Below are 19,595 nucleotides of genomic sequence, written 5' to 3'. Positions count from 1 at the left end.
TCCTCCTAAACTCTGGAAAGGAGCCGGGAAGACGCGCCGTCCTGTCGCCCAACCTGGGTTTTTACAATTTTCATCCGGCTCAAGTGCAAGGCTGCCACAGAATAGCATCATAGAGGAACTTCTGGTGTCCGAAGATTGCGTTCTCCTAAGAACAAGATTTTCTTCGCTGCCGTCTCCCTGGGGTAGTTCGGATTCACTCCGGATTCTGAACTCCCCGGCCTAACCCGCTTTTCAGCAGTCACGCCCATGGCCCAGGGAGGAGAGGCGCTTGGGAACCCACGGCCACTTACTGGGGGTTGTGCGTTGGGAAGGGGTAGTCTGTTTTAAGAATACAAGAAACCTCCCCATCATCCTTCAGCCCCTTCCAGTCAGGCCCTGTGAAGGTGGAAACTTTGAGTTTCCGCCTCCATTTCACTGGGCCACACAAGTATGAGCGCTGTGATATCAAACAACCAGGGAAGCACTGCTCTAAATAACCACAGGCCATCTGCTGCGCTCATTCAACCTCGCCCACAAATCCTTTCCAATGGTAAACCGAGGCCCAATGGGATGAAGCTTCTTGCTCAAAGTCACAAGGCTCCCAGTGGAGGGAGTATGGGGTAGGAGTTAGAAGACAGATTTTGGGGAGCGCATCCAAAAGAATCCTGGCTGGGACATTTTGGCTAAATGACTTATACTCTCTGAGCCTCAGTTTCCTCATTTGTAAAATGAGACTACTGATGAGTATCCTTGCCTCATGAAGTGAGATCATACATGTAAAGCACTTAGCACAGTGCCTGCCTGGTACATGTAAGCGCCCAATAATGGTTGCTGTTGCTGCCACTGTTCATAGAACTCAGGTCTCCTGACCCTGACTTCTGCCACTCTCCATCACATCCTCCTGCTGCCTCAGAGGACTCTTCATTATTATTTAATGAGATGAAACCAACAACTTTAAAACTGGTATACACAAGGCATACTGGATGCTGGAATAAAAGTATGTTTTTTCTTTCTCCTTGGGGAATCGTGAGTGTTGAGATATACAGAAGTTGGCGCCAGGAGCAGTGGCTCCAGCCTGTAGCCCCACCTACTCAAGCCGAGGTGGGAGGATTGCTTGAGCCCAGGAATTCCAAGCTGCAGTGAGCTGTGATCACAACACTGCAACTCAGCCTGGGCAACAGAGCAAGACCCTGTCTTTAAAAAAAAAAAAAATACAGGAGTTTTCTAGCCTTTCCATGCAAAGGCAGTAAGAATACCTGAGCCATTAGCCATGTCTTCCAAAGGCAGAACTAGGGACCCACAGGACGTGTTCTCCTTTTGCTATAGACAGTACCTCCTGACAGATGACTGTGCAAATGGTTGAGTATTAAAGTAACACTGCCCCAATTTTGACACTGAAAAGGTCATAAAAGAATGACTCCCATGGCAGCCTGTCCCATCCATTCTTTTATAGAGACCTAGCTCAAACACTTCAAAGGTTCCCCTAGCTGAAAATGGAGACCCAGTACCACTCCCACAGGAAAATGTTCTATACGACACACACAAGTCACAGCTGTTGGAAAGGAGATGTTTATTTTCTTCTTCCCATGCTATGGAAGGACATTGTATTCCGCAGTTTTATTTCCTCCCTCAAGGAGAAAAAGGACAGCAGGTCTCTGGGCCTCAGGGCTAAGCTGCCCCTACTTATATAGAGCTAACCAAGACAGTACAGAAAGACTGGTGACTGATTCCAAATCTACCAGCTAACACATCCACCACCACTGCGGGCAGGCAAGTGACTAGAAGGCAAGTTGTGGACTTGGCCTCAGGGACCAAGAATTTAAAGACTACAAGGTGATCCAAATGTAAAGGTAAACACCTACTGTGCATTTGACCATGGAACCCACCTCTCTGGTATTCTGGCCACTTACAGTAAGTGGCATCTAAAAGGGCTGCAGCCTCCCAGCCTGGTGCAAGGGTCAGCTCTGTCCTAAGTCTCCTATCATTCTCCTTGGCCTTGAGTTTCAGACAAAAGGGCAGAGTTCTAACAAATCCTCTGACAGAACACGTTCTCAGCCAAGTCAGTCCCAAGGAAGTATCATGGCAGAGAGCTCTGGACACTCGCAGTAGTCTGTATTTACAGAACCCTCCCACCTCGGGGCCTCTCCTGGGTCCTTCCATCCTGAAGCTGATTCCCCTTCAAGACTATTTGAACTCTCAACTTGAGTGGAGTGCAGGGAGCACAGTCAGCAAATGTGGAATATGGACAGGTGGCCGGGACCCAGGAGACCGTGGGCCTCTGCAACGCTTCTTTAAACTTGAGCTTCAACATTTATTTAAATAAAACTTTAAAAGTCATAACCAAGCATGTAAAGAAAAATACTGTCATCTTCAGCTCATTTTTTAGGAAGGGCAACAGAGGAGAACCAAAATAAACTCTGGAATTTATTAGGTTTAAGATAATGAGTGCATTTTTTAAGTGTTAGGCTACGTATAAAGTTTGCTAACCTTGATGGCACACACACAAAAATCTCTAGATGGAGAAGTAGAAGATGCTGTTACTTCAGGCAAAAGTAAGAGTTACTGAACAGGAAGGCAGAGTAGTGGGGAAAGTTACTCATCTTTCCCCAAAGATTTAAAAAAGGGGGCAGGTGCAGAATGTTGTCCTCTTCTATCCAAGAATCTCAAAGCAATTGCCTATGTTCCACACTTTATGATGAGGAAGATGGCAGCAAAAAGAACGGCTTGCCCAGTCATGGTCAGCAAACCCACCAGGACCAGCGCTGAGAGTTCACATTGCTTCTGGTTCTGAGGACTTCTTAAGAGGTTCTTCCTTGTAAAATGACAAAGTTATGGTTTTGTCCAACAGTTAAAAGAGATGCTCTTTAAGAAGGATGATAAACTCATTTGCCTTCCTTAAATGACAATTACACTCAACTTAAATAACTTGGGACTCTTTAAAATCTTATCTTTTTTAAGCTCTTCTTCCAATTTTTATTTTTTTGAAATAGGGTCTCACTCTGTCACCCAGGCTGGAGTGCAGTGGCACGATCTCAGCTCACTGTAACCTCCGCCTCCCGGGTTTAAGTTATTCTCCTGCCTCAGCCTCCCGAGTAGCTGGGATTATAGGCGCCTGCCACCACGCCCAGCTTATTTTTATCTTTTTCGTGGAGACGGGGTTTCACCATGTTGGCCAGGCTGGTCTCGAACTCCTGACCTCAAGTGATCCACCCGCCTTAGCTTCCCAGTGCTGGGATTACAAGCATGAGCCACCGCACCCAGCCTCCTTCCAATGTTTTATGTGAAATTTGGTCAGAGATGCAAGCTTGGGAAAACTTAAATTTTTTTAATACTCATGGCAGGGAAACCAAATCCTTTATCTCAATGAATAATCTATACTTTTGCAACACTCTATCAATCCTCTCCTCTCCCTTACCTCTAACGGATACCCAGTGGGTACACAGGAACCCTGTCAAGCTCTACCCCATACCTTCTAGATTCATCCAGGATGGTACTCAGGCATACAGATTTTTTTTTTTTTTTTTAACTCTCATTTGAGTCTGACCAACAGACAGGGTAGATGAGCTCTCTCAAGATTCTCAGCTTTATGTTTTTTGTTCCCTCTCAATACCTTTATGCAAATGAAACTGAAACCACCATAAGAAATCCTTGTTAAGGGGAAAAGAGGCAAAAAGACCTCTAAATATAGTCAAGGTTAACCCTAGTTCTCAATTTCCTAATCTGTGACAAAAGAGGGGCAGGAATCTCTACCCTAAATTGATGTTGAGGTATCGATGCTAAAGAGTCATTTCCTGTTACTATCGTTGGGAAGGAATGAGACAGCTGCAGAGAGCTTCACCAGAACCTCAATGATGGAGAGGTAGTCATTGAAAAAATAAGACAACTTGACGGAAGGAAAACAAAATACTGAATGGGCAGATGAGAAACAGAATTATCATCAGAGTCTTGCTACAAACAGGGAAAAACACAAACCAAGATGACACACGGACATGGTAGATTAAACATTCCTCCCCACCTTCAGGATACATTTACATTGCAATAAATACTGCAATCTCAGCAGCGGCAAACAAGGAGGAATGTAGGAAATGCCCACCTCCTCCCCTCTGTCTTATCTGTGTGCTCTCTTCCTTGGTAGCACCGATCTCCCCAGGTGCTGGGTGAGAAACAGGACAGGGGGAAGAGGTCCGTGCATGCTCACTTGCCCTCTGGCCGTGCCCGGAGCGCTCAGCAAACACCCCTCTCACATTCCTATGGCAGACGCTGGAGGATGAAGGGCTGGCTGTTGGGTCTGTTCTTGCTCTAAGGCCACATCCTAGAAAAGCAGGGCCTGTCTGGGTAGAAAACATGGCCACCAAACCCCAACTAGTGACTGGATTTTCCAGCTGACATTCAGTCGACTGTCTACCTCCATCATCCTCACCTGATGTCTAAGGCTGCGTTCCTTCAAGGCCTTGTCCTGATTGGCAATAAAATAAGGAAAAGGTGTGAAAACCAGCATTCATGATGAAGTGGTGCCCTGGCAGTCCCCATCCTTGTCTGTCTGACCCCTGCAGCCACAGATGACGAGCAGACACTGGGCACACAAACCCTTCACTAGGCCCTTAACCAGCTCTGGTTCCCTACTCTGCACTTCTGCTAATAGCCACCAAGAAATTCAACCTGCAAATAACTTTGCATTCAGCTTATCCTGTGTGGGTCATTAACAGTGTTCCCATGAGAGACATTCTCAGCATTTATGAATGGGTCAGGAGGTTGGGGGGAGGATGGACTTCTACTCCAGGAACCGTGGTCAAAGGCCAACTCTTCTACCAGCCTCACTCCCAGAAACCCTAAATACTGTCTCAGCACTCGCTCTGTAGAGTTCAGCTTTGAAACATGCTATCACAGCTCTTCAGTGGCATTCAACTAAAAGGCAACATCTTAATTAGGCAGATATGCTCCAGGGACAAGAGCAAAACAGAAGGCATGAACGAGAGAGGAAAAAATAGAAAAGACACTGAATAGGAACAGGCAAACGGGCAAGGCAGACCAGATAGAGGCAGCAAACATGGGCCAAAACGCAAAACACCAAGTGGTCCATCAGCTCAGGCCAGCACGCCACCTTCTCAATTCATTCCAGAAAAATTAGCCTGGAGCCAGGGGGCGGCAGAGAGCACAGTGATTGGTAACAAAAATAGGAAGAGTTGGGTAACAAAATAGGAGACGAAAGAGATGTCATTCTAATCAGCATGAAGTGACCAGGGTGATGATCAGCAAGACACCAGGCAGCAGGAACCCTGTGAGGCACCAACTAGGTAGCCAAGTGTATCTAACGGAGAATCCAGGGCCTGACCACCAACACCCGCTTTGGCCTTCACCTGCCCTACGTCTGCAGCAGCACCTCTGGCTCAGACAATGAGCAATACAGAGTGTATCCTAATTCGTCTATTTCTTCAGGGGTGAGCTCTGCAAATAAGTTCACCTTGGGGTTTAGGGCACTGGGCAGGACTCCAGCCTCTAAGTAGCTGATAAGTCCCCTCAAGGCCTGCAGGAAACGGTCGGCCAGCATATCCGGAGACCAGTCAGCCTCCTCCTGGGCCAAGTGGAGGATGACATTGGTTAGCTGGCTGGCAGTGAGGTGGCCCAGAGCCGGGGTGGACTTGCATATGGCCTTGAGGATCTTGAGGCACAGAGATCGGCAGCCCGAGTCAGCCTGGTCCAGAGCCCGCAGGCGTGCCGTCTCCGCGGGACGCAGGCTCAGCCGCCACAGGTTGTCATACTGGGCTAGCCGGTGTGGTTTGGCCACCAAGACTGTGTCACCGAGGGTCACTGATGGCAGGAAGTCAATGAAGAGATGTTTGTCACGCTCATACTGCACCTCCAGTGTGAGGGCTTCTGGGGGTGGGGCCGGGCGGATCACATAGTCCAAGAGGGACCCTATGGCTGGCCAATTGATGGAGCCAGCCACTACCTTCTCAAATGTATCTGCGACTGTCTTTGGAGAGAGGTAGCCCCCTACTACACAGCGGTCCCAGTAACTGCTCCCACGAGGAAAGTACTCTGGATTCTCACGACGCACCAGGAAGAAGCCAGGGACATTCATGATGGTGTCTTCACCAGGAATACATGACCACAGGTTCTGCTCCAGCACAAGGGGCACAATGAGTTGGATGTGGTCAGCTGTCACCACCTGTCAGGGCAGAATTTAAAGGGTTTTGAGGGTTTACTCTGTTCAAAAGACATGCTTCCTCTAAGACGGTTCCCACCATCTTACATTCCCCCCCAGCAAGAATGGGAACTCTAGGCCGGGCGCAGTGGCCCATGCCTGTAATCTCAGCACTGTGGGAAGCTGAGGCGGCTGGCTCACTTGAGGTCAGGAGTTCAAGACCAGCCTGGCCAACATGGTGAAACCCCATCCCCTACTAAAAATACAAAAAAATTAGCCAGGCATTGTGGCGTGTGCCTGTAATCCCAGCTACTCAGGAGGCTGAGACAGGAGAATTGCTTGAACCCAGGAGGCGGAGGTTGCAGTGAGCCAAGATCGTGCCACTGCACTCCAGCCTGGGCAACAGAACAAGACTCCATCTCAAAAAAAAAAAAAAAAAATTCTTTCATGTCACCATGCAATCTACACAGAGTGAGAAAACTAGAAAGGAGAGATGGGCACAAGAATATAGGAAGGAGGAGGCCTCTTATAGCTTCCTAGAAGTTGTAAGTAGGACTAAAACATGAGAAACGATTAAAGACACAAGAATAAAGAATAACAGGCCAGGCTCACGCCTGTAATCCCAGCATTTTGGGAGGCCGAGGTGGGTGGATCACCTGAGGTCAGGAATTCGAGACCAGCCTGACCGGCATGGCAAAACCCCGTCTCTACTAAAAATACAAAAAAATTAGCCAGGAGTGGTGGCACACACCTGTAATCCCAGCTACTCGGAAGGCTGAGGCAGGAGAATCGCTTGAACCCAGGAGGCAGAGCTTGCAGTGAGTCGAGATCGCACCACTGCACTCCAGCCTGGGCGACAGAGTGAGACTCCGTCTCAAAAAAAAAAAAGAATAACAAGCATGGATCTCCAAATGCTGCTGAGGTACACAGGATTCGGAAGCTGTAAGACCTCAGTCTTTCTGGCAAGCCTGGGACACTGATCTGTGCCAACAACACTATGGTGCTCAGCACTCAAACCCCACCCACCATGAGAACCACCTTGTTACCTGCAGGTCATCGTAGAGGCTGCCACTCAAGTACATGTCCCGAAGCGGCATGTCAGGCAACTTGGCCCGCAGGAAGCTCCGGAGCTCGGCACATATGTCCACAGCAGCTTGCTTGGCCCGAGCCTGCTCTCCAGCAGGGATGGCTGCCCGGTTCCGGTAGTAAGTAAGAAGTTTCTCCTGCAGGGACATGCGGAGTCGTGACTTCTTCAAGTCTACCTGGCCCTTCCTGGCCACTGGCTTGGGCCGGGGCGGGCAGAATGTATCTGCCAAGGCAAGAGAGAGAGGCACGTGAGCTCTGCCCATGCCTGCTCAGTCCACAGCTGCCTCAGCCCCAGAAAGAAGGGCCTGGCATGGAGGGCAAGTGCTGGCACAGTGCCTGGCACAGATGTGCTCAGGAAACATCTGCTGAGTGCAGGAGTGGTACTGAAAGTCCAGAGAGGTCCCAGGAGGGGCAGCAGCCCTTCTCACCTGTGTCGAAGGTGGAGGAGTCTGTGGGAAGGGTCTGCAAGGACCGGCTCAGGCCCGTCTTCATGTCCCTGTTCAGCAGTCGTGGGGAGCCCATCCAGTTGGGTTCTTCCCAGCTCCTTTTCCCCGAATGGCTCAGGCGGGTGGGGCTGGTAGGGGCACTGATCGCCCGATCGTACATCTGAAATAGCAGAGAGGACACAGGACATAAACCTGCCCTCTTTCCCTATTTCCTTCCAATTTACTTCCTCCCCAGAAGCTCTGTCCTAGTAAGTTCTTTTAGTAATTTTGTTTTTATTTTAGATTATAGAATACTTTGCTCCACGCAGAAAATCTCAGGGAAGACTACATGATATAAGACATAGATAATCCACGTCATGACCCAGAGAAAACTGTTTGTAATATCTGGTATGTTTCTTTCTAGATGCATGTAATGACGATCACTCTATACATACTTTTGAAACCTGTTTTTTTCACTTATCATTGCGATCATTTCCTCCTAGAACGCTTCGACATTTTCTTTCTATAAAACATTACATCTTATGACCATACCACTACATTCCACCCCCAGCCCTGGCTGCATGCACTTACCCGCTTAACTGCCAGCGTGGCGATGCCCAGCATGGCCGCTCCACCCACCCCCAGCACCAGCCGGGCATTGGAGAGCACAAAGTCAATGGCCGTGCCAATGCCATTGTCATCCTTCTTGCCTTTGCGCTCACCAGCGCCTGCCATTGCTCATCTGAGAATGAAGACAGAACACGGCCATAAGTACTGGGACCCCAAGAACCTCCCTCCCCTAACAAGCCAAACCCCAACAAGTACAGGGTACTCTGTGAGTTCCAGCAACCCAAATCTTCTTGCCTCCAGCACTGCATGCTTTAGGGTCTGGAGGGAGCTACAATGTCCCATGATAGATCAGGATGCAAGGAGGAGGGGCTGATCTTGGGTATTGTAGGAAAACTTTCCCCAAGCTAGTGAGATTAAGAAAGCATTAAGCTCAGTGTCAGTCCTTTTTTGTATTACAATGAAGTACCCCACCATGCAAAACAGCCCTCTCTCTGCCCCTTTACAATGTTAAAATGCAGGTCTCTACCCCTTCACAATGTTATAATGCAGGTCTCTACCCCTTCACAGGGGTTATAATGCAGGTCTCTACCCCTTCACAGGGGTTATAAAGCAGGTCTCTACCCCTTCACAGGGGTTATAATGCAGGTCTCTACCCCTTCACAGGGGTTATAATGCAGGTCTCTCTACCCCTTCACAGAGGTTATAAAGCAGGTCTCTCTACCCCATCACAGGGGTTATAATGCAGGTCATTTCTTCGTCCTTTGGCCACTACTTTGTGGAAGGTTAGATCTGAGCGGGACCTTGGAGCTCATCTAATGCCATCACATCACCTCACACAGAGGTTCTCAACATAGGGAGGTGATGTGTCAGGTCTCAGAGAAAAGAAATGGTACAGGCGCAGTGGCTCATGCCTATAATCCTAGCTACCCGGGAGGCTGAGGTGGGAAGATCGCTTGTGGCCAGAAGTTCAAGACCAACCTGAGCAACATGGCAAGACCCCCATCTCCAAAAGTAAAAGATAAAAATAAATTGAGCATGGTGGCACATGCCTGTAGTCCTATCTACTTAGGAGGCTGAGGCAGGAGGAATGCTTGAGCCCAGGAGTTTGAGGCTACAGTGAGCTATGATCACGCCACTGCACTCTAGCCTCAGTGACAGAGTGAGACCCCATCTCTTAAAAATAAAAATAAAAAAACAAAATGGGCCGGGCACGGTGACTCACGCCTGTAATCCCAGCACTTTGGGAGGCCGAGGCAGGCGGATCACCTGAGATCAGGAGTTCAAGACAAGCCTGGCCAACATGGAGAAACCCCGTCACTACTAAAAATATAAAATTAGCCAGATGTGACAGCGCATGCCTGTAATCCCAGCTTCTCAGGAGGCTGAGACAGGAGAATCCCTTGAACCCGGAAGGCGGAGGTTGCAGTGAGCCGAGATCACACGATTGCACTCTAGCCTGGGTAACAAGAGCTAAACTCCGTCTCAAAAACGAAAACAAAACGACACAGTCATCTCCAGAACTCAGGACTCCCCACTCCTTGTATGACGCTTTTTCTACTGTACCATGCTCACCCTTACCCAAATCAAATCGGCCCTTATTCTATCTACTTTCTGCAAACAAAACACAAAACAACATGTACCAAACATCCTGCACACGGAACTGAAACTACACGTCCATATGTGAGAAAGGTCCCTCCATGGACCCTCCTACTTGACAAATGCTTTGTTTCTTGAGAGAAGTGCGCAGCGGGGACTATAAAAGCTTAGGTGAGACTGGTATACCGGGAGATAAAAAACACAAAGGACACTGCAGACTCGACTGCTAACTGGAAAACAAAACACCCATCTGCTCGATTACACCTGGAAGAGGAACTAAAAATGTGTTCACCTGAAAGAAGTACTTGGGCACCACAGCGAAGAGGCTGGCCTCCAGTGCAGTGCTCAGGCCAGTGCTGCTCCCGACTACAGTGGAGTCTTCCTGACTGCAGCAGCAGCAGTCCCCAGATAAGCCCATTCCTGTGGAGTTAGAACCCTGGGCCTGAGCCGGATAAAGGATGACAGTGTGATTCAGATCGGAATACCACTCAGCATGCTGCCACTCTCCTCTATAATATCCCGTGTCCTTCACACCAGGAATGACATAAGGGAAAACAAAGTCGGATACCATTTAGCGTCCCAGAATGGGAGGACATCAAGAGACAGGATCAGCCGGGCGCGGTGGCTCACACCTGTAATCCCAGCACTTTGGGAGGCCAAGGTGGGTGGATCACGAGGTCGGAAGTTCAAGACCAGCCTGGCCAACATAGTGAAACCCCATCTCTACTAAAAATACAAAAAATTAGCCAGGCATGATGGTGCATGCCTGTAATCCCAGCTACTCGGGAGGCCAAGGCAGGAGAATCACCATTGCACTCCAGCCTGGGTGACAGAGCAAGACTCCGTCTTGAAGAAAAAAAAAAAAGGATCACTGAGGATTATCTTCCATGTAAAATAACATTCCTTCTAATACCGTGTTACAAGTGGATATTTCTAGCTTCCACATCTTACGCTCCTGCCTCTACCTCCCTGAAAAACAAAGAAATATTTCTGACTCTATTATTCCAGTAATTGAGTTAACTAAGAGTCACTGTCAAGCCCAAAAATATTTTTTTCCCTAACTAGAGTTCACACCTTGGGGGTACTTTCCTTTTCTCTACCATTTACAGTCAATAGAGGCTTCAGGTTTAGGGACATGAAAGACTATTTCGCCAAACCGAGTACATTCCCACCTCAAATGCACAGAGCAAAGCCAGGGAGAAGAGATAACGTTTGTATTTACAGGTGGAATCAGGGAAGAACAGCAGACACCCTCTCTCCAGTGGCCACTGAGATAGAGACGGGACAAACCAAACTTAGCAGAGGCAAGATAACCCAATCAGGAGAAAAGCAGAACACTATACATTTCCCCACACATAACAATGTCTCTTGTTTTAACTCTTTACTGAAATATTTACAATAGGGAGAGCCACTGGACACATGTGCCCTCTAAATGATCCTTGAGTGTGATGCAGCAGGGCCAGAAGGGCACCTCCTCACTCAGGGCAGAAGCAGCCTCCCTGGACCATTTTAGTCCTTGGTGCCCTTCTGATGACTGGTGAGAGCAAGGTGGTGCTACAGATGACAGAACAGAGCGTGGGTTTTAGAGTCAGAAATCCTGAGATACAGAACTTGCCTTGAGCCCTGACTTATTAGCTGGGTGACCTCAAATGAGTTACTTAACACCTCAGCTACGAAAAGGGGATAATGGTCCCCGCGTGGGACCAAATCACAGGGTTGTAGTGAGGAAAAACCATTCACTGCAATCCTGTATGTGAACGGTATAAACTGTATTGCAGTGGATGGTCTATAAACTGTAAAAGTGCTCCACAAATGAGTTCTCCTCTAGTCTTTTAAGATTTCCATCCACAGGACAAAGGTCAGCTTCCAGAAGTCAGTCAGCAACCCAGACTGTCCTCTGAGTGACAGTGCACCTTTTGAGACTGCTCTAAAACGGCCTTGAAAATTCGCAGTGATGCCATCTTGGACTTGAGATCAAAACTATTTTTTCTTTTTTTTTGAGACTGAGTATCACTCTGTCACCCAGGCTGGAGTATAGTGGGGCAATCCCGGCTCACTGCAACCTCCACCTCCCAGGTTCAAGTGATTCTCCTGCTTCAGCCTCCCTAGTAGCTGGGATTACAGGCATGAGCCACCACACCCTGCTAATTTTTTGTATTTTCAGTAGAGACAGGGTTTCACCATGTTGGCCAGGCTGGTCTCGAACTCCTGACTTCAGGTGATCTGCCCACCCTGGCCTCTCAAAGTGCTGGGATTACAGGCGTGAGCCAACAGCTGAGATCAAAACTATTAAGTTGGGCCAGCTTGTTAAGCCTTTTCGGCCGGGTACGGTGGCTCACGCCTGTAATCCCAACACTTTGGGAGGCCAAGGTGGGCAGATCACGAGGTCAGGAGATCGAGACCATCCTGGCTAACACGGTGAACCTCTGTCTCTACTAAAAACACAAAAAATTAGCCAGGTGTGGTGGCAGGCGCCTGTAGTCCCAGCTACTCGGGAGGCCGAGGCAGGAGAATCGCTTGAAGTCGGGAGGCAGAGGTTGCAGTGAGCCAAGATTGCACCCACTGCACTCCAGCCTGGGTGACAGAGCAAGACTCCATCTCAAGAAAAAAAGGCTTTTCCTACTGTAGTGCAATAGGCACCCCCCGCCCACCATCCAAGGACGGACTGACATCACAGACCTGGTGACCTGGAACAGAAGACGGCATCCACAAGCTCAACAGACAGACACGGACCTTACTTGAAAAGTTAATTCAACTTGTTCCAGTTTAAACTGCTTCTCCATGACACGCTCTCCACTCAGGTTCTGCTGCATAAGCTTACAGCCTACTAGCAGGTAAGAACTCCACCTCCAATCGGGACTGTCATGAAGGAACCCCATTGCTTAATGGGTACAGAGTTTCAGATGTGCCAGATGAAAAGGGTTCTGGGGCTCTGTTACCCAACAATGTGAATATACTTACTACTACTGAACTGTACACTTTAAAATGGTTAAGATGGTTAAAATAAAAAACAAAGAAGGAACACAGACCTGGTGGGCAGAACTAGGGATGGAGAATTTCAGCTCTGCCAATATTTCAGGCAAGTTATTTAACCTGTCTCGCTAGATACAAAAATGGGAACAGAAATGCTCATCACCCTAATATAGTTAAGGATGATGAATAATGGAGGCCTTGCGGCTTCCTAGGATGACAGCACAGAAGTGTGAAAGTTCCAACTTATTTTAATTGAAAAAGCCATAGGCCTTTTTATAAACCTATCTTGCTTGAGTATGTACGAGACTAGGTAGCAGATATTGAGTGTGTATTATGTGCTGGCAATTTTACACTTATTATTAATTCCCTCAATCCTCACAACAACAATCCCATGAGATCAGTAATATTATCCCAAATTTAAAGGATGAAGAAACTGAGTAGTTTCTGTAACTGACCCAAGGTCACTGTGTCAGTAAAGTATGTGACCAAGATTTGAACCCTGAGATCACGCGGTGCGGAGAACTAATCTACAGGGGTCCTAGGTACTTGCTCCACACCTTGTTCCCATCTCCACTCCATTAACCCCCAGACCATATGCTTCTGGGGGACATTTGGGCTCATTCACTGCTGCATCCCCAGGGTGTGCAGTGTTTGATGCATAGGGAGTATATGTTGTGGGAATGAAGTATTAACTCTACGGCGTTTTGTTTCTTGGTTTTTTTGAGGGGGTAGTGATAGCAGCGTGTAGCCCAACTCACAGCCAAAATATATTAGGAACACAAAGATTTCAAGGAACGCCCTAATTCCCTCCTAGATCCGCTAGCCAACCCTCCCTGTGCAGACAGGCTCCCATGGGCATCACCCCACCCCTGGCCCTGTACTGCCAAAGGCAGATATGCCAATCCTAAGTGGCTGAGAAGAACCAAAAGTCATTACATAAGGCTCTCTTCCTACTTTCCCTCCCCCAGTTAAAAGCAGCACCCTCCACCCAGCTGGCAGGCCTTACACCCAGTTACTCTTCATCTTTCTCTCTCCTCCTCCTGCCTCAGCCAACTGATCACCAAGTCCCACTGCTGTACACACTGTGTTTATATGTGGCCACCCCCACCCCTCGGTCCCTCAATCTGATCTGGCTACATCCACTGCCTCTAGTATCTCTCATCAATTTATTCTTCACACTGCCACTGGTATGCTCCCTCTACGATACAAATGTGGCTATGTCATTCCTCTGTTTACAGAGCTGTGATGGTCCCCACATAAGAAGATATACATTACAATCTCAACTTGGAGTCAACGTCCTTCCAGACCAGGCCCAGCCTCAACTCTGGCTATTTGCCTTACAGGGGTACCATGCTGGCCACATCAGACTTAAGTTTCCAGACTACAAAGTGCAGTTTCTGGACAGGCAGAGCTGTTTGAACCTATAATCCCAAAGCTTTGGGAGGCAAGGGTGGGAGGATCGCTTGAGGCTAAGAGTTTGAAAGCAGCCTGGGCAACATAGCAAGACCGTCTCTACAAAAAAAATAAATAAATAAAAAATTAGCTGAGCACATTGGTACATGCCTGGCGTCCCAGCTACTCAGGAGGCTGAGAAGGGAGGACTGCTTGAGGCCAGGCATTCAAGGTTCCAGAGAGCTATGATCATGCCACTGTACTCCAGGTTGGGCGAGAGCGAGACCCCGTCTCTTTTTTTTTTGGAGACGGAGTGTCACTCTGTCACCCAGGCTGGAGTGCAGTGGCGCGATCTTGGTTCACTGCAACCTCCACGTGCCGGGTTCAAGCAATTCTCCTGCCTCAGCCTCCTGAGTAGCTGGGACTTAAGGCATGCGCCACCATGCCCGCCTAATTTTTTGTATTTTTGGTAGAGACAGGGTTTCACCATGCTGACCAGGCTGGTCTCGAACTCCTGACCTTGTGATCCTCCTGCCTTGGCCTCCTAAAGTGGTGGGATTACAGGCGTGAGCCACCGCACCGGGCCAACCCTGTCTCTTAAAAAAGAAAATTGCAGTTCCCACTCCAGGCATTTGCTTATTCCTGCCCTGCTGCTGGTAAACCTCTATTTCTCATTTGAGGCAGACCTCAAATGTCCTCTTTTTTCCCCCCCACCCCAGAGACAGGGTCTCATTCTGTCACCCAGCCTGGAGTGCAGTGGTGCAATCATACCTCACTGCAGCCTCAACCTCCTGGGCTGAAGCCATCCTCCTGCCTCAGCCTCCTGCAGAGTTGGGACTATAGGTGCACACCAGTGCACCTGGCTCTGCACTGATTTCTAATGACTAAAAGGATGACTTTGATCCTTTTCTCGGTCCCTTGCAACAAAAAATAAGGAAACCTACAGGAACGAGGGCCTACGTACCTGAGGCTTCTTAATACATCTGTAAGATGGGGATGGAAGAGAGCAGGAGTGTCTACAGAAGGCACCTTTGTCCTCTTTCCCTTGGAGGATCCTAAATGATCCTCCCCAATTTGCCGTTGAGAAAGACCAGGCCCTTCTCCAGCTGCCTCTCCCGGGCCTCAGCGTCCTCTAGCTTCTGATTTTTTCGGAATTCACGGCGGATGGAGGCAAAGTAGAAGTCTCGATCAGTGTAGCGAAGCTGTCGGCCCTGGCGCAACAGAGCCCGATAGAGACTCAGCACCGCCTCTCGGCTCCACGGGGCCATGGGGGACTGGCAGGGGCTGGGTGTCACACTATAAACAGAAGGAAAGACATACAAGCCTAGTATCAGAATTAATAACAAAAGGACCTGTAGAGACTATGTGAGGGCTTTTTAATCCAAGTTCCAGAGACCCCCCGCTCCAGGTCACCGTATGACTTAATGGCAAGACTAGAACTAGAGACCCCAGCCTCTGGATGCCCATTCTGGAAACATACAGGTTGTGGTTCACCAGGGCTCAAATCCTGGCCCTGCCACTTACTTGCCATATGACTTTGGGCAAAGGACTGAACCCCCGCTGAGCACCAGCTTCCTCACTTATAAAATGGAGATTAGGATATTATGGCAATAGTACCTACCACATAGGATTATTTTGAGAACTGTGCACGTAATGAACGGTAATAGAACTTCACCACAGGGGGTGATCTAGGAGGGTTGAAGACAAGCACTCAGCCATACTTGAATCCTGGCACCAGCACTTACGAGCTGCATGACCGTGGGCAAGTCTCCTAACCTCTCTGTGACTGTCTCAGTTCCTCATCTGTGAAGTGAGGATAAAAATCATATTTTGCCCATACGGTTGGCATAAGCACTAAATGAGTTTAATGTATGTGAATATGTTTAGAACAGCACTTGGCACACACGAAGCACTCTATCAACAGCAGATATTATTAGTAGCACCTAGCCAGGTTTGTAAATGCTCAATAAATAATTACATTTAAGTATAAACTGCCACTGCCTTCCTTCAGTAACAATAAACCCTTACACAAGCATATCTGTAAAGTGCTTTGTTGCCCATGACCACATTTAAATTAAGAATCTAGAAGGTGGTCAGGGTTCTTAGTAACAGTAAATGCTTATTGCATTATATTGCACTATATACAACGTGCAATGTTCGAAGCATGTCTCACATAACAACTCATTCTGTCAGCTACCCTAGGGGTCAACATTACCCCATTTTAAGTGGAGGAAACAATCTCCCAGAGGGAAGTAACTTGCCCGCGGGCCCACAGCTGTCAAGGGGAGGGCTGCACTCCTGACCCCAACTCTGCCTGCCTCTGGAATGAGTTACCCTTTGCTGGAGCCGGACCGTGTGTACAGCACTTCTGGGTGCTCCACGAACTTTCCCAGCACAGCGCTTGGCACATACAAGGGGCTCAAAATTATGCGTAACGGAGAGAATTTCACAACGTCCCTATGTGGAAGAAATGATCACCTCCGTTTCAGAAATAAAGAAATGACACCAAGTGGGGGAAGTATTTGGCTGGAAAAAAAGATTGGACTTTGGGCCCAAAGTCCGCGAGCCCTTAGCCTCCGGCCTTGCTAACTTCCTGCGCAAGCTTGAGCAAGCCACCATCCCTGCCCATTTTTCCTCAACTGTTTAAGAGATCCCTCGGCCCTAAGGACCTCCCGATGCAGAAAATCAACAGAAGTGTTTGATGCTGTAAAAGGCGACTGTCACGGCGAGGGCTGTAACTACAAGGTCGCTGGGCGACTGGGCGGCTGAGCCCCAGCCAGTCTGCACTTCACCAACCGTGGGGGCCGGGCCGGGGTGCGGAGGCCCAGAGGCCAGGGCAGGCCTGCTTCGGGGCACTGGAGGTCTCCGAGGTTGGGGCGGGGCGGGGCAGCCGAGGGGTCTCCCAGGGGAAAGTCCAGGGCGGGATGGGGCGAGACCCCCGGCTGCATGCTGGTATCCTGACTCCGGGCCGCATGCGAGGCGCCGGCAGCAGCCTGAGAGGAGGCGCTGCAACCTCCCCGCCGCCCAGCCGCCGGCGGCCCTCATTCCTTCTCTCACTCACCCGCAGGCCGTGCGCGCTACCACTCCGCAGGACTCGCCTCTGGCCGGGTACCTCTCCCCGGGTCACCCATCAACATGGCCCCTTCACTTCCGGGACACGACCTTGCGCACGGAGCTGCGAAGGGGCTGAAGGGAGCACGAGGGCGAGTGGAGGCGGAGGGACTTCCGGTCTTCTCCAAGCTCTCTCTCGGGCCCCGCCCCCTGCGCATGATTCCGCCCCCCAATCCTGAGCCCCGCCTCCGTGTGTGACCTCACCAAGGGACTGGCCTGCAGAGGCCACTCGCGCCCCGCCCCCAGAGGACTCCGGTGTCCGGGTCCGGCTGTGGGTACCGGGGTGGTCCCGATGCTGGCAGAAGTTCAGAGGGCAGGAGGTAGCCTCGCTGTCCAACAAGGCTGCCGCACCGGGTAGGCCCCTCACCTGCTGGCAACCCCTTAGCCTGTCGGGGTACCTGGCCAGCCTCCTGTACTGTATATGCTGATCTCTGGCTGGGGCCCTGGGGTACCTGAGGGAATTCTAACACTAATATTCAGAGCTCCTCAAAACCCATTTTCTCAGATCGCCTTCTTTTCATCCCTCCATGCTGTTCCTACTCCCCAGGCCCCATGGCTTCTGGCAAACTCCTACCCTTCCTTCAAAGTCTACCTCAAATGCCCCCCTTCACTGGGAAATCTCTCCCAGCCCCTTCCTCGCCTCCCTCTAACACACTCACGTGCCTTCTTTGGGCCCCACGGAAATGTCTGCACATCTTACGCCTCATAATCTGTTCAACAACAAAACGTATTTCTTGGCGCCTACCATATGCCAGGCACTGTAATTTATCCATTTGCTTCTCTGTCTCTCACTAGATTTGAGGACGGAGGCCGTGTCTCTATGGAAGCTCCCTCCCCCAACTGCCTCCCTCCATGCCTGGCTCTGCCAAGCCCAGGGCCTGGGGCTTTGGAGTCCGGGGCCACCGGGGCCACCGCTGGCTCCTAGTTCCAGTTCCACCACTTAGGGACAGCTGCCCTCTGCCAAGTTTCCTAACCTCACCCAGCCTTGGGGCTGTGGTGAGGATTAAAAGGTAATATCTACCAGTAGAGGGGTGGGCAATTGCAGAATAGTCAGGCTATCTGATAAAAGGACGAGAACCAGGAGAAGAACATTGCAGGGAAGAGCATTTCAGGCCTCCCCCCAGGTAAGCCTTTAAGCTCAGCGTGGTCTAGGAGCCACAGGGAGAAAGCCAGTGCTTTCGCAGCTGAGTGAGCAGGAGCTGGGAAAGAGGCCAGAGGGGAGGCCCTTACCAGAACTGGGAGGGAGATGGCGGGTGCAAAGGAACCACAGCAGGGTTCAGAGCCAAGAAGTGCTGGGATCTGACTTCCCTTTCAATGGGATCTGTCTGGCTTGAGAATAACGGAATGGAACCAGGGCTGAGGCAGGGAGACCAATCAAGAGTCTGTTGCAGGGCTGGGCACGGTGGCTCACGTCTGTAATCCCAGCACTTTGGGAGGCTGAGGTGGGCGGATCTACTTGAGGTCAGGAGTTCGAGACCAGCCTGACCAACATGGTGAAACCCCATCTCTACTAAAAATACAAAAATTAGCCGGGAGTGGTGGCATTGTACCTGTAATCCCAGTTACTTGGGAGGCTGAGGCAGGAGAATTGCTTGAGCCTGGGAGGCAGAGGTTGCAGTGAGCCAAGATCACGCTACTGTACTCCAGCCTGGGCGACAGAACAAGACTCGGTCTCAAAAAAAAGAAAAAGAAAAGAAAAGAAAACCAAGATGGAGAGAGGCATAGTAGTTTCTAAGACACTGAGCTAAGAAGGAAAGAAGCTTTCAGTGGAAGCCAAGTCTGTCTTACTCTGAAATGTGTGTTCTTTCCACTCTTTCAGGCTGCCCTAATTTGCTTTTTAAAGAATTTTGTGACCCAAATAAATATAATTGGTGGCATTTCCATCGGCATACCAGATGACCTCTTCATATCTCTCCTGACTTTCTTGTTCTATGGAATGTTATTTTTCGGAGGGAGGGACAGAGGGAGGTCATTTGGAGGGGTCTCCCCTTCGGATCAGCCCCTCTAGATCCACTTGCTCTTCAGGGTCTTATCTTTACTTAGACTGACAAGGCCTCTCCCTGCCCCCGATGCTTCCGTGGCAATGGAGTGTGGGCAGTGAGGTGGTATCTAGCACTTACATGTACGTACCCATGGTGCCTTTGTAGGCCAGAGACCCACGGCAGGGGGCACTGACCCAAACCTCAGGGCTCTGCCAGGTTTCACAGGGCAAGAGGCATTCCAGGATCTCTTGGATTGATATTGCAGGGTGTTTGTTTGTTTGTTTGTTTGTTTGTTTTGAGATGGAGTCTCGCTCTGTCTTTAGGCTGGAGTGCAGT

General features: G+C 49.7%; 2 protein-coding genes and 1 long non-coding RNA gene across 7 annotated transcripts, besides 5 other annotated features; 1 reads left to right on the top strand and 2 right to left on the bottom strand.

Annotated features, from left to right (window-relative positions):
* Positions 1-1,532: 1,532 nt before the first annotated feature.
* On the bottom strand, positions 1,533-19,565 carry MIEF1 (mitochondrial elongation factor 1). Of its 4 annotated transcripts, none has more exons than NR_130790.2 (7): positions 17,228-17,375; positions 15,131-15,462; positions 10,094-10,243; positions 8,227-8,377; positions 7,639-7,816; positions 7,171-7,347; positions 1,533-6,148 (listed from the first exon to the last, which is right to left on the bottom strand). NR_130790.2 is itself a non-coding variant. In NM_001304564.2 (7 exons), exons 3-7 carry the CDS (start codon positions 8,368-8,370, stop codon positions 4,292-4,294), a joined length of 1,437 nt encoding a protein of 478 aa, NP_001291493.1. In that variant the 5' UTR covers positions 8,371-8,377; positions 15,131-15,462; positions 19,408-19,565; the 3' UTR covers positions 1,533-4,291. The 4 variants fall into 4 exon arrangements, 2 of the variants coding, with proteins under 2 accessions (NP_001291493.1, NP_061881.2); NM_001304564.2 differs by lacking the exons at positions 10,094-10,243; positions 17,228-17,375 and adding an exon at positions 19,408-19,565 and having other exon boundaries at positions 1,533-4,435; positions 5,441-6,148; positions 7,171-7,433; NR_130789.2 differs by lacking the exon at positions 10,094-10,243.
* Positions 8,564-9,089: an enhancer, noted in NCBI's record as "OCT4-NANOG-H3K4me1 hESC enhancer chr22:39906581-39907106 (GRCh37/hg19 assembly coordinates)". NCBI's record gives its function as "activates a minimal SCP1, AML or CMV promoter by ChIP-STARR-seq in primed H9 embryonic stem cells {active_cell/tissue: H9 hESC(primed)}" and the evidence as "EXISTENCE:reporter gene assay evidence [ECO:0000049][PMID:30033119]".
* MIURF (mitochondrial elongation factor 1 upstream open reading frame) lies at positions 15,222-15,434 on the bottom strand. The gene has a single exon (NM_001414695.1). The coding sequence runs from the start codon at positions 15,432-15,434 to the stop codon at positions 15,222-15,224; it is 213 nt and encodes a 70-aa protein (NP_001401624.1).
* Positions 16,594-17,093: an enhancer, noted in NCBI's record as "H3K27ac hESC enhancer chr22:39898577-39899076 (GRCh37/hg19 assembly coordinates)". NCBI's record gives its function as "activates a minimal SCP1, AML or CMV promoter by ChIP-STARR-seq in naive H9 embryonic stem cells {active_cell/tissue: H9 hESC(naive)}" and the evidence as "EXISTENCE:reporter gene assay evidence [ECO:0000049][PMID:30033119]".
* Positions 16,977-17,086: a silencer, noted in NCBI's record as "silent region_13757". NCBI's record gives its function as "represses an Ori minimal core promoter by ATAC-STARR-seq in GM12878 lymphoblastoid cells {active_cell/tissue: GM12878}" and the evidence as "EXISTENCE:reporter gene assay evidence [ECO:0000049][PMID:35858748]".
* Positions 17,094-17,595: an enhancer, noted in NCBI's record as "H3K27ac hESC enhancer chr22:39898075-39898576 (GRCh37/hg19 assembly coordinates)". NCBI's record gives its function as "activates a minimal SCP1, AML or CMV promoter by ChIP-STARR-seq in naive H9 embryonic stem cells {active_cell/tissue: H9 hESC(naive)}" and the evidence as "EXISTENCE:reporter gene assay evidence [ECO:0000049][PMID:30033119]".
* Positions 17,187-17,236: an enhancer, noted in NCBI's record as "active region_19057". NCBI's record gives its function as "activates an Ori minimal core promoter by ATAC-STARR-seq in GM12878 lymphoblastoid cells {active_cell/tissue: GM12878}" and the evidence as "EXISTENCE:reporter gene assay evidence [ECO:0000049][PMID:35858748]".
* LOC105373035 (uncharacterized) lies at positions 17,505-19,173 on the top strand. Of its 2 annotated transcripts, none has more exons than XR_938263.4 (3): positions 17,505-17,631; positions 18,073-18,401; positions 19,097-19,173. It is a non-coding gene; the product is annotated as an uncharacterized LOC105373035 (long non-coding RNA). The 2 variants fall into 2 exon arrangements; XR_938264.4 differs by lacking the exon at positions 19,097-19,173 and adding an exon at positions 18,669-18,688.
* Positions 19,566-19,595: the final 30 nt, after the last annotated feature.

Source organism: Homo sapiens, chromosome 22, assembly GCF_000001405.40.
Source record: "Homo sapiens chromosome 22, GRCh38.p14 Primary Assembly".
Taxonomy (NCBI): domain Eukaryota; kingdom Metazoa; phylum Chordata; class Mammalia; order Primates; family Hominidae; genus Homo; species Homo sapiens.
The sequence above is the reverse complement of the archived record's forward strand: the minus strand, read 5'-3'. Positions and strand labels throughout refer to the sequence as shown.

Coding starts and splice junctions, on each gene's coding strand:
- MIURF (NM_001414695.1), bottom strand. CDS start 15,434: ATGGCCCCGTGGAGCCGAGAGGCGGTGCTGAGTCTCTATCGGGCTCTG.
- MIEF1 (NM_001304564.2), bottom strand. CDS start 8,370: ATGGCAGGCGCTGGTGAGCGCAAAGGCAAGAAGGATGACAATGGCATT. Junction 6,149..7,170: donor GCCTCTACGATGACCTGCAG/GTAACAAGGTGG, acceptor CTGCCCTGACAG/GTGGTGACAGCTGACCACAT. Junction 4,436..5,440: donor CCAGTGCCCTAAACCCCAAG/GTGAACTTATTT, acceptor ATTGCCAATCAG/GACAAGGCCTTGAAGGAACG.